At 53.1% G+C, this 14,938-nt stretch overlaps 2 annotated features.

Moving 5' to 3' along the window:
* Nucleotides 1,554-2,054: an enhancer, noted in NCBI's record as "H3K4me1 hESC enhancer chr22:23836429-23836929 (GRCh37/hg19 assembly coordinates)". NCBI's record gives its function as "activates a minimal SCP1, AML or CMV promoter by ChIP-STARR-seq in naive H9 embryonic stem cells {active_cell/tissue: H9 hESC(naive)}" and the evidence as "EXISTENCE:reporter gene assay evidence [ECO:0000049][PMID:30033119]".
* Nucleotides 6,536-7,283: an enhancer, noted in NCBI's record as "H3K4me1 hESC enhancer chr22:23841411-23842158 (GRCh37/hg19 assembly coordinates)". NCBI's record gives its function as "activates a minimal SCP1, AML or CMV promoter by ChIP-STARR-seq in primed H9 embryonic stem cells {active_cell/tissue: H9 hESC(primed)}" and the evidence as "EXISTENCE:reporter gene assay evidence [ECO:0000049][PMID:30033119]".

The following is a 14,938-nucleotide window of genomic DNA, read 5'->3' on the forward strand; positions in this document are numbered from 1 at the left end:
TTCCAGAGAGTCGCAGTTTGCCTAAAGCCTGACAGCCAGGACTCCAGTTCAGGCCCTTGCGTGCAAATGCAGTGATAGCTTCTGTCGCGGCAGGGAGAAGGGAGAGGTTCTTTCTGGTGAGAAAAAATAGGAGCTGGCATCTGAGCCAGCCTTAGAAGGATGAACTGGAGAACTGGAGGCGGAACACTGCAGACTCTGAAACAGGCCTGGGAAGGTATTTCTGGGGCCCAGGAGCAAGTGTCTAAGTAGATGTGCAGTGAGGGATGAGGAGAAGTACAGAAAAGTAGTTTGTGTTTTAAACTGTGGCCAGGCACGGTGGCTCACACCTGTAATCCCAGCACTTTGGGAGGCCGAGGCAGGCAGATCACTTGAGGTCAAGAGTTCAAGACCAGCCTGGCCAACACGGTGAAACCATATGTAAAAATATAAAAATTAGCCAGGCATGGTGGCACATGCCCGTAATCCCAGCTACTCAGGAGGCTGAGGCGGGAGAATCGCTTGAACCCGGGAGATGGAGGTTGCAGTGAGCTGAGATAGTGCCACTACACTCCAGCCTGGGCACAAGAGTGAAACTCCGTCTCAAAAAAAAAAAAAAAAAAAAAAAAAAAGATGATGACAGGGTCTCAAGTATGTTGCCCAGTCTGGTCTTGAACTCCTGGGCTCAAGCAATCTGCCTTGGCCTCCCAAAGTGCTAGGATTACAGGCATGAGCCACCTTGCCCAGCCCCGTGGTTATCTTTGAATCCTGGGCATACAAACTGGAAGTAAGCTCCTACCAGGGAAACCACTTGGCATTTAGGGCCCAGAAACAATCAGTTCTTCCAGGTTGACTCCTCCTGCGAAAGCACATGGGGCCGTGTAATCATTTGCTCGTGGTCCACCTGAAAATCCTGCATAACCCTTCCTAAGGCAGTGCCAGCCAATTTAAGCTCAGAAATGTTCCCTCTCTAAATTTTCCTCGCAGCACCTGAAGCTCCCCCAGCCCAAGGAAAACTGGTGGGTGACAGGAAGGAGAAGCATGACCTCCAGTGCACACTGAGTCCCAGCAGGGCCAGCTCACCCAGGAGCTGAGCGGGAGGGTCTCTCTGCCCTGTAGACACTGGGTTCAGGATCAGGAGCTGAGACCCCAGATCAGACAGACCTAGACCCTGGCTCTTCCTCTTAGCAGCTATGTGAGTCTCCATCTCTCCAGTTATAGTGGGAATGATATGGGGAACCATGTCTCCATCTTATTGTAAAGATTTATAAAATAACCTATGTAAGGTGCTTGTGGGGAGAAATGGCTCAAAGGACAGTGCCTGCTCCAATGACGACTACGACTATTGCTTTTTTTTTTTTTTTTTTGAGAAGGAGTCCCGCTCTGTCACCCAGGCTGGAGTGCAGTGGCGCATCTCCGCTCACTGCAAGCTCCGCCTCCCAGGTTCACGCCATTCTCCTGCCTCAGCCTCCTGCATAGCTGGGACTACAGGCACCCGCCCCCACACCTGGCTATTTTTTTGTATTTTTTTTAGTAGAGACGGAGTTTCACTGTGTTAGCCAGGATGGTCTCAATCTCCTGACCTCCTGATCCGTCTTCCTCGGCCTCCCAAAGTGCTGGGATTACAGGCGTGAGCCACCACGCCCAGCAGATTATTGCTTTTCTAATCCATGCCACAGATCTTGACGTTCTGCCTCCTGCGCACACCTCCCAGCAGGCAACATCCTCCCATCCAGCAGTTGGCACTCTAGGCCTGTTCTGAGCCCCTAAGACTGGGCAGGTCCCCTGCACGCCCTACGCACTCTGGCTTTCTCCTTTCTAGCACTTTCCAAAATCATGATGAATTCATTATTTGGGTGGAGTGCTGCCCTCCAGGCAAGGAATCTCGTGACAGCAGGGACTGTGATTATTTCATTTGTTGCCATAGAACTCGGGCCCAGTGAAGGGCGTGGTGTGGCAGGGAATCATGGTGAATGCTGTAGAATGGGTCGTTCATTCACCTAGCCATTCATTCATTTACGCAGGGCTAGAGGAATTTCACTCTCCACCTCCGTCATTTACTTTCTGGGTGATCTAGAGCAGCATCCTTCTTCTCTTAGCCTCAGTTGCCTCATCTGTAAAATGGGGCTAGCACTGCCCTCTTAGAGTATGGCAAGGAGTCATTGAGATAATGGGGCTATGACACAGAGATATTTTGAGCACCTGGCATCTAGCGATTGTTCAATAGCCACTGGCTGTAGTAAGAGTCTTATTTGGCCAATTGTTATTGTTAATGGGCTCCCTGAAACTACAACAGGAGTTTGCTCTGTCCTTTCATGTCAAAATCCACTGGACTGACCCACACTAACTGACTACTGGAAAGGTAAGGAATGGCTGATAAAAGTTCTTTCTCTTTCCTTCTTCACTTCCTCCCTTCCTCCCTCTCTTCCTTCCTTTCTTTTTTTGAGACAGAATTTTACTCTGTCACCCAGGCTAGAGTGCAATGGTGTGATCCAGCTCATTGCAAGCTCCGCCTCTCAGGTTCATCAGTTCTTTTGCCTCAGCCTCCTAAGTAGCTGGGATTACAGGCATTTGCCACCATACCCAGCTAATTTTTTGTATTTAGTAGAGACAGGGCTTCACCATGTTGGTCAGGCTGGTCTCGAACTTCCGACCTCAGGTGATCCACCCACCTCGGCCTCCCAAAGTGCTGGGATTACAGGCATGAGCCACTGTGCCCAGCCAAGCTAATATAGTTTTTAAATGTTTTGTAGAATCGCAAGGACAAAAAACCAAACACCACCATGTTCTCACTCGTAGATGGGAATCGAACAATGAGAACACATGGACACAGGAAGGGGAACATCACACTCTGGGGACTGTTGTGGGGTGGGGGGAGGGGGAAGGGATAGCATTAGGAGATATACCTAATGCTAAATGATGAATTAATGGGTGCAGCACACCAGCATGGCACATGTATACATATGTAACAAACCTGCACATTATGCACATGTACCCTAAAACTTAAAGTATAATAATAATAATAAAAATAAATAAAATAAAAATAAAATGAAATAAAACTTCAAAAAAAAATGTTTTGTAGAGACAGGGGTCTTGCTATGTTGCCCAGGCTGGCCTTGAAATCCTGGCCTCAGGCAATCCTCCCAAAGTGCTGGCATTTGTCATGAGCCACCGAATCATTCATTCATTCATTCATGCACAGTGAATCCACAAACGTTTTCCAAGTGCCCTCCAGGGGCCGGGCCCAGGACTAGGTGCTGTGGTTGGAAGCAGAAAGGAGAGTCCTGGGCTGAGAGGAAGCCATCAGTTTATCCTCTGTGCCAAGGGAAGTGGCTGAGCCCTCTACCCGCATCCTGTCACCCCCACCCCTGCACTGGCTGATCTGTCTCTGTCCTTTTCCTGAACCTCTTTCACCCTGGCCTGGGCAGGGGGCTCGGCACCCCCACCCCACCATTCAGCCCTTTCCTGCCCTTCTGTCATCTGCTTCCTTTGATCCTTTTGTCAGAAGACTCTTGGAAGCCTCTAAGCCATTGGCAACCCCGTCTGCTGGGCTGGGGCTGGTGACCCCACAGGGGCTGGGACCAAAGTGGGCTTCTCTTGGGATCCTGCTCTGGGAGGCAGATGGATTCTGGCCACATTCATTCATTCGCTCATTCACTTTTTCATTCGCAGGTTCCAGGCTTTGTGCTGGGCCCAGGGGCCACAAAGTAAGCAAGAGAGCCATCGTCCCTGCCCTCATGGAGCTCCAGCCCAAGGGACAGCAGCTTATCCTACGCCAAGGGGCTCCTCTCAAAATTCCCACAGCAGTAGTGATCTAAGGACCTGGGCAGGGGCACTGGACTTCAAGTCTCAGCCTCTGGTGAGTGTCTTTACTCCCGAGCCCCAGTTCCATATGTGGGTACTTGCGGAGGGGCTGGACTTCACATTCCCTAAGGCCTTCCAAGCTCAAAGACTGAGAAGATGCGGTGTGGCCAGGACCCTGCTAGAGTGAGCTCCCTGGATGCAGGAAGGGGGCCCTGGGCCCAGCAGAGAGGCAGGGTGAGGAGGCCAGAGGTGTGGGGAGCCCAGTTTGACAGGAGATGGAATACACATTATTTTAATTTTTTCTTTTTTGTTTAATACTGTTGATGCAACAGTAAGAATACACATTGTTGATCAGAAAGTGAACAGAGCCTTAGCCCCAAATACAACAAGCCTCTTCTCTTTATCTTGTATGGGGTCTCCACAGCCAGCTCAGGACAGGAGTTCAGTCGATGCTGGGAAGGGGCTAGCATTTATTGAGCACTTACTATGTGCCAGGGATGCTGGGCTGAGCTCTTTATGTCAGGCATGAATCCATGGAATCCCTACTCTGGTCCTATGAAGCAGATAGAATCATTCTTCCCATTTTACAGATGAGAACAGGGAGGCAAGGAGAGATGAAGGTTGCCCAGGGCCCCATAGATTGCAGGTGGCACAGCTGGGTTTTGAACCCTGTTTGCCTGGCTTCAGCCCACACACTGTTCTGTCCCCTGGTGACTGAATGGGGGGACCTCCAGGCATCAGGATGCTGAGCTACACAAGGTAGCAGACTTGCCCTTTCTGGGGTCTGCCTCAGTAGTTCCAGCCGAATGTCTGGGTGGTTCACCCCCTTTCCCCCAGAGGGTGGAAAACAGTCAGAGAAGAGAGCAGAGGCCCATCTGCCACAGGAAGTCCTTCAGAGGACTGCAGTAGGGACTCTTAGAGTGGCTTCCCCTCTGACCCTCCGGGGCTCTTGCAGTCCCAGCAAGGCTGGCACCAGTTCCTTCAAGCCCTTTTGGGAATTTCCAGTAGCTGAGCTTCTCCCAGTTCTTAGTATGATGAACTCCTATACAGCCCTCAATGCCCTGCTCAGGTGCCCCTCAACCTCCCTAGAAGGACTCGATCCCTCCTCCCTCTGGATGCCCTCCTCTTCATCTGATACCCTTTCCTGTCCCACACTGCGACTCGTACTGTGGAAACCTGCAAATGTGTCCTCATTGTTGATAGCACAGCACTACCAGCCTCTTCCATCCAGCATTTTTCCTGTGCCAGGCCCCATGCCATGTGCATGACAACCCTCACCAGCCCCTGGGACTGTTCTTACCCCCACTTTACAGATAAGCAAGTTAAGTCACAAAAACACTTAGGTGTCTTATCCAGTGATCCAGGGAAGCCAGGCACCGTGGCTCACACCTGTAATCCCAGCACTCTGGGAGGCTGACAAGAGCCGATTGCTTTCGCCTAGGAGTTTGAGACAAGCCTGGGCAACATGGCAAAACCCCATCTCTATGAAAAATACAAAAATTAGCTGGGTGTGCTGGCACATGCCTGTAGTCCCAGCTACTGAGGAGGCTGAGGTAGGAGAATCACCTGAGCCTGGGGAGGTCAAGGCTGCCATGAACTGTGATTGCGTCACTGCACTCCAGCCTGGGAGACAGAGTGAGACCCCATCTCACAAAAACAAAACAAAACACAAAACTGCGACCCAGGGAACAACCGCAGGGAGTGCTTGTCCTGCCCACGCCTGGATTTTTAGCCCCTTCCTTAGTGTCTACCTTCTGGCCTCCTGGGTTTTACTGCCTCACAACAGGCCCTATATATATATATATACACACACATATATACATATATGCATATACACACATATATATACATACATATATATACATATACATATATTTTTTTTTCTTTTTTGAGACGGAGTCTCACTCTGTCACACAGGCTGGAGTGCAGTGACGTGATCTCACCTCACTGCAGCCTCTGCCTCCTGGGTTCAAGCGATTCTCCTGCCTCAGCCTCCTGAGTAGCTGGCAGTATAGGTGCACACCACCACGCCCAGCTAATTTTTGTATTTTTAGTAGAGACGGGGTTTCACCACGTTGGCCAGGCTGGTTTTTGAGCTCCTGACCTCCAGTGATCCACCCACCTCGGCCTCCCAATGAATAATTGTTGAATAAATAAATGATTGAAGAGTCAATTTTCTCCAAGTTGCTTCTGGCTGACTTGTCCCGCCCGAGACCACACAGCTCCCCATGGATTTGGGTCCCACTGGGTGGCAGAGTCAAAAAGCCCTGCCTCGCCTCAGCCTGGACTCGCTTGTGACCTTGGTCAGAGGGAGCAACATCTCTGGATTTCTTTTCTTCTTCTGTGTAGGAGTCCCTGCCCAAACCACATCATCTCTCTCTTGTGATGCTCAGACCAAGGAGCAAGCAATGGGGTGGGAGGACCTCCAGTTCCTGGAAGGAGCAGGGGGTGCTTCACACACACTGCGGCGAGGCTGAGACCACGTTCTCAGGGGAGGAGGGTGGCTCTGGGCCTCACGACCTCACACCTTCCCTGTAGGTACCCAGCTATGCATCCCCGCCCAGGTGCAGCTTGTGTTGGAAAAGGGTCCCTGCCATCCGGAGGCCCCAGAGCCCCGCCCACCCTACTCTGGTTGCAGACCCTTCCCGCATCTTTGGCAGCCTCGCCACCCCTGGGCACAGCAGGAGCAACCCCAGTGCCCGGGGATGAAGCACCTACTGTGCTTCAGGCCTTCCTGGAGCCCCAGCTCATTGACTAACAGTGACCTCCTGGGGCAGTCCTGTTTTTATCCCCACCTGGTGGGTGGGAAAACAGGCTCAGAGGGGCCAGGTCCCCAAGTGTCACAGCTCCCAGGAGCATGACAAAAATTGCATGGGGAAGGAGGAGGATTTGCTAAATGCCCATTCCTGGCATTCCTGCCCCCCCACCCCCACCCCCCATCGGCAGAATGAACCTCTGGGCTGGCAGGGAAACCGCAGTTTTCCTCAGGTGCACTCTGCTCCGGGGAGTTTCATGTAACCTGTCGTCCATGGAGGCACAGAGAAGAAAGGGCCAGGGCCAGGGCCCCACAGCAGGAAAGGGCCAGGGCTAGGACCTTGGCCTCCAGGCTGGCGGACTTGGCACATCTCAACAGCCAGCGACTCTGTCCCCATGCCAGGATCTGTCCCCTGGCTTCCTCCTCCTTACCCATGGGGAAGGACGCATGGCTGGACTCAGGCAGTCTAGACGCGTGTGCACATGTGCACACAAACTAGACACAGTGTCACACCGGTGCACACTGTCCACACGCACACGCACAGGTACACTGTGCACACACACACTAGACACAGTGTCACGCCGGTGCACACTGTCCACACGCACACAAACAGGTACACTGTGTGTGATGGTACACCATCCATTCATTTTATTTCTATTCTGAGCCTTGCTCTACACCTTTTGGTTCTGAAACATATGCTTCTGTGAGCTGGCTGCTGATGCTGTCCCTGTGGAAGTCACCAACTCCCACCCCTGGCTTAGCACACCAGTTCTGACAGGTCCCACCAAGGCTGCAACTCCCACATAAGGAGTTCAGCTCCCCTCTTCCCGCCTCACCTCCACTTGGGTGGGAATTGGACTCTGGGTTCTTTTCCTTCCTTTCCCGAGTCACTTCACTTCTCCACCTGGGTATTTCAGTCCCGAGAGAGGCCTCAAAAATGTGGAAAAACAAGCCACTAGCCCACTCTCAGAGCCTCACCAACCTGCAAAGGGACATCGATTATCAGGGCACAGGGGAGAATGCCATGGGCACCTGAGCCAGTCCTGGGACCAGGCACTAGCAGGACAAGCTGGGCTGGAACTGGGCGGCCTCCGCATCTGCTTCCGGCCTGCTGTGTGGCCCTGGACAATGGAGAAGTAAGAATAATCGCCCCTGTCCTTCTGAGGGTTGGAAGGGAAAACATGGAGGCTTTAGACAAGGTGACAGCCCTTCAACCCTTCAGTGACAGGGAATAGAAAGCCCTGGGTGGGGAGAGGGAAGTGGGGGAGGAGAAGGAAGGTGGAGGGGAGAGGGAAGGGAGGGGAGAAGAGGAAGGGACTGACTTCCTTGAGTACCTACTATGTATCTGCAAGGTAGCAGGTGTTCCCATCTCTTCATCTCACTGGATTCCCCAACAACTCTACGCAGCTGGTATTCTCTCCCCTAGCACACATGTTTCACTGATGGGAAAGCCGAGGCTCAGAGACGGCCAGCAACTTCTCCAAGGTCACACAGCTTTCACATGCTAGATCTGGGACACCAGCCCAGGCACCTTGGTCTGACTCCAGAGTTTGGCACCTTTGCCCATGTCCCTACCCTGAGCATCTCCCCCTGAAGGTGACGGCAGGGCAGAAAGCGCCGTCAGCACTCGCCTCTTAGGCAGCTTTGGAGGTTCATGCAGCCATTCAGTTAACAAATACTTATCCACTCCCTCTCTGGGTTAGGCCCCTCCCCTCCTTCCTGGGGCTCCCTGGTGGGGGCTGCTGTAGGGACTGATCTCAGCTGGCAAAGCCCCGCTTCACCCAGGCTCAAAAAATAGTCCTGCTGCTGTCCAGCCTGAAGAGTGGGGGCCACAGGCTCCCAGAACCAAGGCTGGGGAGGCAGGAGGCAGAGCTGTGAGCTCGGAGCAGGCTCCATTAGCATGGGGCTCCAGCCTCCTAGCTTAAAGATCGCCTCGGGTGCTCTCTTAAAGAGGTTAACGTTGCAGCTGACAATTGGGAGATCTGGCAGCTGATCAAATCGGCTCTGAAGATCCTGGCAGCTGAAAATGGGAGCTGCTGGGTGGGTGGGTGGGGTGGGCACCAGGCAGCAGAGACCCGCACTGGCTGGGCCGACTGGGGCCCAAGGCAGCAGGGCTCAGGTGGCTGGTTGCTGGCTACGGCTGTGCCTTCAGTCTGGCCCAAGCCATCTGGGTATCCTGTGCTTTGCTGGAAAGACATGGGAGGAGGAGAAGGAGGAGGCAGAAGGCGAGAAAGGAAGCAGGAAGAAAATGGACTTGTAGAGACCTGAACTTCTTTCATCCCCAAACACCAGGTTCTCGCCAGTAATCAGACCAGTTGGCAAAAAGGCACCCACAGGTGAAGAGTTGTGGGACAGGGGTAAGATGGAGGGAGGTTCCTGGTGCCAGTTACATCTCTGCAGTGCCCAGTGGGTCCCTTTCAGTGTAGGGTGTACTCTGAGGAAGCTGAGAGGTCTGAGGAGGAGTCAGGAGAGGAAGATTCCTACTCATTCCGCCCATCCACATTGCGGGGAATGTAGAGATAGGGCACACCTCGGCCTGCCTGAGCCAACCTTGTCTCCTTTCCATGCATCCACCCCGCCACCCACCACCTCCACCCACCACCTCCACCCACCGCCTCCACCACCCGCCACCTCCACTCACCACCTCCACCCACCACCTCTGCCACCCGCCACCCGCCACCTCCACCACCCGCCATCTCCACCCACCACCTCCACCCGCCATCTCCACCCGCCACCTCCACCACCCACCATTTCTAACACCCACCACCTCCATCCACTGCCTCCACCTCCGCCACCCACTGCCTCTGCCACCCATTGCCTCCACCACCCACCACCTGCCCTTTCCTCTGTCCAGCCCACTCCTCCCCTGCCCTTCCACCTGCCCAACCTGCCTGTGTGCCCTTCCATCCATCATCTGCCTGTCTATCTAGATCTCCAGTCACCCCCCGTCTATTCGTTCATTAATTCATCCATTCACCTTGCATCCCCATCCCTCCATCTCCCATCCTCCATCCCCCATCCCCCATCCCTATCCCCCATCCCTCCATCCCCCATCTCTCATCCCCCATCCTTCCATACCCTGATCCCTCCATCCCTCTATCTCCCATCCCCCTCCCCCTCCTTCCATCCCCCATCCCTCCATCCTCCCATCCCCCACCCCTCCATCCTCTCATCCCCCATCCCTCCATTCCCTATCTTCCCATCCCCCATCCCTCCATCTGCCATCCTCTAATTCCTCCATCCCCCATCCCCCATTTCTCCATCCCCCATCTCCCATCCCTTCATCTTCCCATCCCCATCCCTCCATCCCCCATCCTCCATTCCCCATCCCTCCATCTTTCAATCCCATCTTTCAATCCCCCATCCCTCCATCTGCCATTCCTCCATCCTCCCACCCCTCCATTTGCCATCCCCCATCTCATCATCCCCCATCCCTCCATACTCCATCCCTCCATCCCTTCATCTCCCATCCCTCCATCCCCCATCCCTCCACTCCATCCCTCAATCCCTCTATCCTCTATCTCCCCTCCTTCACCCCTCCACCCCTCCATCCCCTGTCCCTCCATCCTCCATCCCTCCCTCCTTCCATCCCTGTCCCTCCATCCCCTGTCCCTCCATCCTCCATCCCTCCCTCCTTCCATCCCTGTCCCTCCACCCTCCATCCCCAATCCCTCCATCCCCCATCCTCCCATCCCCCATCCCTCCATCCACCATTCCCATCCCTCCATCCCTCCACCATCCCCATCCCTCCATCCCTCCATCCCTCCATCCCCCATCCCTCCATCCATTCATCCTTCCATCCAAAGAACATTTCTTCAGCATAGGAGAGGTGCACCCAGCCCAGTTTCGGGGCTAGGAAAGGCTTCTAGGAGGAAGAAACCTACACTGAGACAGGAGAATGAGTTGGAGACACCTGGGCTAGCGGGGAAGGGAAGGTATTCCCAACAGAGGACAAGAGGCAAGAGGCCTCTTGAGGACCATCCAGTCACATTCTGGCAGTCACTTCAGAGGGGGAGGCCCACCAGAGCACAGGAGAAGCTACTGAGGCTGGAGTGGGCAGCAAGGTCAGGCTGTGGAGCTGGGACAACCTGCCCGGCACAGAGCAGGGCCACGCGAAGAGGGAACGTGGAAGGTACAGAAGCCAGGTCCTTGTCCTCCAGCTGTTTACCACTGACCCTTCCAAATAGGCCTGTCACCCACATCCCTCCAGGCTCCCTAATCCTTTGAACTCCCAATATGCTCATAGTTAAAGCCTACAGTTCCACCCCTGCAGGCTTTTTTGTTGCTGTGTGTGGATTCCAGCTTTGGGCAGGGCTGTGCCTTATCCTTCTTGGTGTCCTGCTCCATGGACTCGGCCAGATACCCCCAAATATTCAAGAGATGAAAAAATACAGGTGGCCAGGCACAGTAACTCATCTCTGTAACCTCAGCACTTTGGGAGGCTAAGGTGGGAGGATTTCTTGAGGCCAGGAGTTTGAGACAAGCCTGGGAAACAAAGTGAGAACCTGTCTCTCCATAAAAACAAACCAACAAACAAAAACATACAAAAAATATGAAACCTCCCCGTAAAACTTCCTCCTCCTCTTCTTCCTCTTGGGGCTCCTGGGTGTCGGCGTTAGCCCCTTCCTGTCTCCCCAACACCCCACCATATCCAGTCAGCAGGACCTAACGATTCTGCCCGCAGCACACCTGGACTCTCCACTATCCTCACCCTACCTGGTCACCAACATGGGTGGGCATGGCAGCCGCCTTCTCACTGCCCTTCCTGCCTCCAGGCCACACACACAGTGCAGTCAGAGGGGTCTTCCTAACACATAAGCTGGGCCCTGCCACTCTCCACTGTCATGCTTCCTGCTGCCCTCTGGATAAAGTCCTGAATCCCCGCCACGGCCTGAATGGCCCTTCCCAGGCCAGCCCATCTCCACTTCTCTGGGCTCCAGGTTCATCGCTCTAAGACACGAGGGCCATCAAGTTCATTGCTGTCCACACTGCATCGCTGAATCCACAGTCCTGGCTCCAGCCCCTGGGCCATCTTGGCTAATAGCCTAGAAGAGTCCCAAGTCTTCAACTGCCTGGTCAGACCCCCATATCATCCCATCCCGGTGAGCCCGGGACCAAGTCCACGTCATCCACACCACGTCCAACACCTGATTGGCCCTCAGGCAAAAGAAAATCTTGCTTTGGCTGCCTGAATATTAGAGTTTACCCCCCAGGCCCTCCCTCCCTGGGTCTGACTGCTCTCATTTGCTATTTGTGCCTTAAACCAGAGCCAACTGCTTGGCCTCTTCTCTGCCTACAAAACATTTTTACCGATTTATGGCTGCAAAAATTTCCTTCCTGTCCTCAGATTCACAGGAGAGAGCCCTAGCCCTGACTCAGAATTGGATTCTAGCTGGAGGCGTCCTCTCCGTGCTGGCTCCAGAGAAAGGGTTTATCTGTTTGTTCCTTGACCTTGAGCAGCCGTTGAGGCAGCCAGAGAGAGGAGAGGCAGAAGCTGGGAGGAGAGCGAGGAGCAACCCTGGGGACCCTGCCCTCTGCCCCAAGGGACCCGCGAGCCAGGTGATAGGAAATAAGTCAGAGGGAGGAGGCAGCTGTGCTGTGTGCAGGGCCAGGGCCACGGAGGCCCAGGGGGACGTGAAGCAGCACCTCTCTGCTGTGGCTCTGCCAGTCCGGAGGCTGCACCCTGCCTTTCTCCACCCCAGGTCCCCCCCAGAAACTGGACAGAGAGCTGGAAGGAGACATCAGCCATCCAGGCAGGAGCTGACCCTGCCAGCCATTCTGGGGCAACTGTGGCTGTCACAGACCCTGACCCAGTGGAGGGAATAGACCCAGGCAGCCTGACCTTGTCCACTGTTTATTTTTGCCAAAATAATCTCATTCTTATTACATAAGTAATGTATGCCTATTGTAGATATTGTAGAAAATATAGATGAATCCAATGAAGAAAATACAACCACTCATTCTTTTTTTTTTTTTAGAGATGGGGCTTTTCCATGATGCCCAGGCTGGTCTCGAACTCCTGGCCTCAAGCAATCCACCCACCTCAGCCTCCCAAAGTGTTGGGATTACAGGCGTGAGCCACCGCACCTGGCCTAATACAGTCACTCTTTTTTTCTTTGAGACGGAGTCTTGCTCTGTCACCCAGGCTGGAGTGCAGTGGCATGATCTCGGCTCACTGCAAGCTCCGCCTCCCATGTTCACCCCATTCTCCTGCCTCAGCCTCCTGAGTAGCTGGGACTACAGGCGCCCACCACCATGCCCGGCTAATTTTTTTTGTATTTTTAGTAGAGACGGGGTTTCACCATGTTAGCCAGGATGGTCTAGATCTCCTGACCTGGTGATCTGCCCCCCTCGGCCTCCCAAAGTGCTGGGATTACAGGTGTGAGCCACCTCACCTGGCCAATACAATCACTCTTAATCCCATCCCTCGTCAATGATCCTCTTTGGCTGACCCCCTTTGATATTTGGAGGAGTTGGGTCTCCTCTCAGTCCTCTGTATCTGGCATTCACTTCTAGCCCTGCACACAGTGGACATGGAAGGATGACTTTATGGCTGATCCCTTATCTGTTTTTTCATTCTTCACTAACCCCAGGAGTATTCATTGAACCCTCAGGAGGTCACAAGTTAGTAGTGTTTTAAATTCTTTGGGAATAGACTGGATGCAGTGGCTCACATCTGTAATTCCAACACTTTGGGAGATTGAGGCAGGTGGATCACTTGAGCCCAGGAGTTTGAGACCAACCTGAGCAACAAGGTGAGACCTTGTCTCTACTAACAATACAAAAAAATTAGCTGGGTGTGGTGATGTGCGCCTCTACTCAGGAGTACACAGCTACTCAGGAGGCTGAGGTGGGAGGATTGCCTGAACTTGGGAAGTCGAGGCTGCAGTGAAGCGAGGTCATGCCATTGCACTCCAGCCTGGGAGAGAGTAAGACCCTATCTCAAAAGAACAAAACAAACAAACAAAAAATAGGCCAGGCTCTGTGTCTCACGCCTGTAATCCCAGCATTTTGGGAGGCCAAGGTGAGCAGATCACCTGAGGCCAGGAGTTCAAGACCAGCCTGGCCAACATGGCGAAACCCCATCTTTACTAAAAATACAAAAATGAGCCGGGTGTGGTGGCACTCACCTGTAATCCCAGGTACTCAGGAGGCTGAGGCAGGAGGATCACTTGAACCTGGGAGGCAGAGGTTGCAGTGAGCTGATATTGTGCCACTGTACTCCAGCCTGAGCAACAGAGTGAGATTCTGTCTCAAAAAAAAAAAAATAGAAAAAAAAGGCTGGGTGCAATGGCTCACGCCTGTAATCCTAGCACTTTGGAAGGCCAAGGCGGGTGGATCACGAGGTCAGGAGATCGAGACCATTCTGGCTAACACAGTGAAACCCCGTCTCTACTAAAAATACAAAAAAAAAAAAAAAAAATAGCCGGGGCGTGGTGGCAGGTGCCTGTAGTCCCAGCTACTCGGGAGGCTGAGGCAAAAGAATGGTGTGAACCTGGGAGGCCGAGCTTCCAGTGAGCGGAGATCGTACCACTGCACTCCAGCCTGGGCGACACAGCGAGACTCTGTCTCAAAAAAATAAATAAATAAATAAATAAAAAGTAATAAAATAAGCATAAGTAACTTACTTGGGAGTGGAAAGAGATGTGTGGAAACCCAGATTGGTGCCGGTGTAACCCAGATAAAAGCTGGGCTTCCACATAGCTCCGTCTCTGCCTCCTGGGACCTGATAATCCAACAGTCACAAGTAATTTAAACTAACTTTCTGAATGTCCTTGTGACTCCCAAAGAACCTCAAAGGGGCCTAATTCAAACCCCACAGCAATAGTTCTCACCAGGGCCCGTTTCCTTGCTCCGGTTCTCTCCGTAGACAAGCTGTTGTTTTGCACATGCCCAAGGCTCCCGAACAGTCCTGACAGCAGCCTGCGTCCTCTCGCTTTTCCCTCGGATATTTGTTATGTAATCTACACAGTGGGCAGACCCTTCCCCACCCCACCTTATGATCCATGCCCCTCTGGTGAGTGGTTCAGAGCCCATGCTCTGGAGCGAGACCCTCTGGGTCCAAATCCTGGCCCCACCAGTCACACTCTGTGACTTGACCCCAGTGCGTGGTCCAAGGACCCGTGCTGGGCCACACACTGTTTGTAACATGACACGCTTAGAACTGAGAATAAGCATTTAGTAACTTTCATAGCAACTTGACACTGCCTACATCCCATTGTGACCGTGTGTATTATAAAAATATCATTCCTGACAGATTGGAACATGTTTTCTCGAAGTTCCTTCATCGCAGATAGTTTGGAAGGCGTGGACTCAGCCTACTGTGTGCCTCAGTTTTTTCATTAGTGAAATGGGAATAATGATGGTCTCTAACCTCACCACATCCCTGAGGAGGTGTAAAGG

Source organism: Homo sapiens, chromosome 22 (assembly GCF_000001405.40).
Source record: "Homo sapiens chromosome 22, GRCh38.p14 Primary Assembly".
Taxonomy (NCBI): Eukaryota; Metazoa; Chordata; class Mammalia; order Primates; family Hominidae; genus Homo; species Homo sapiens.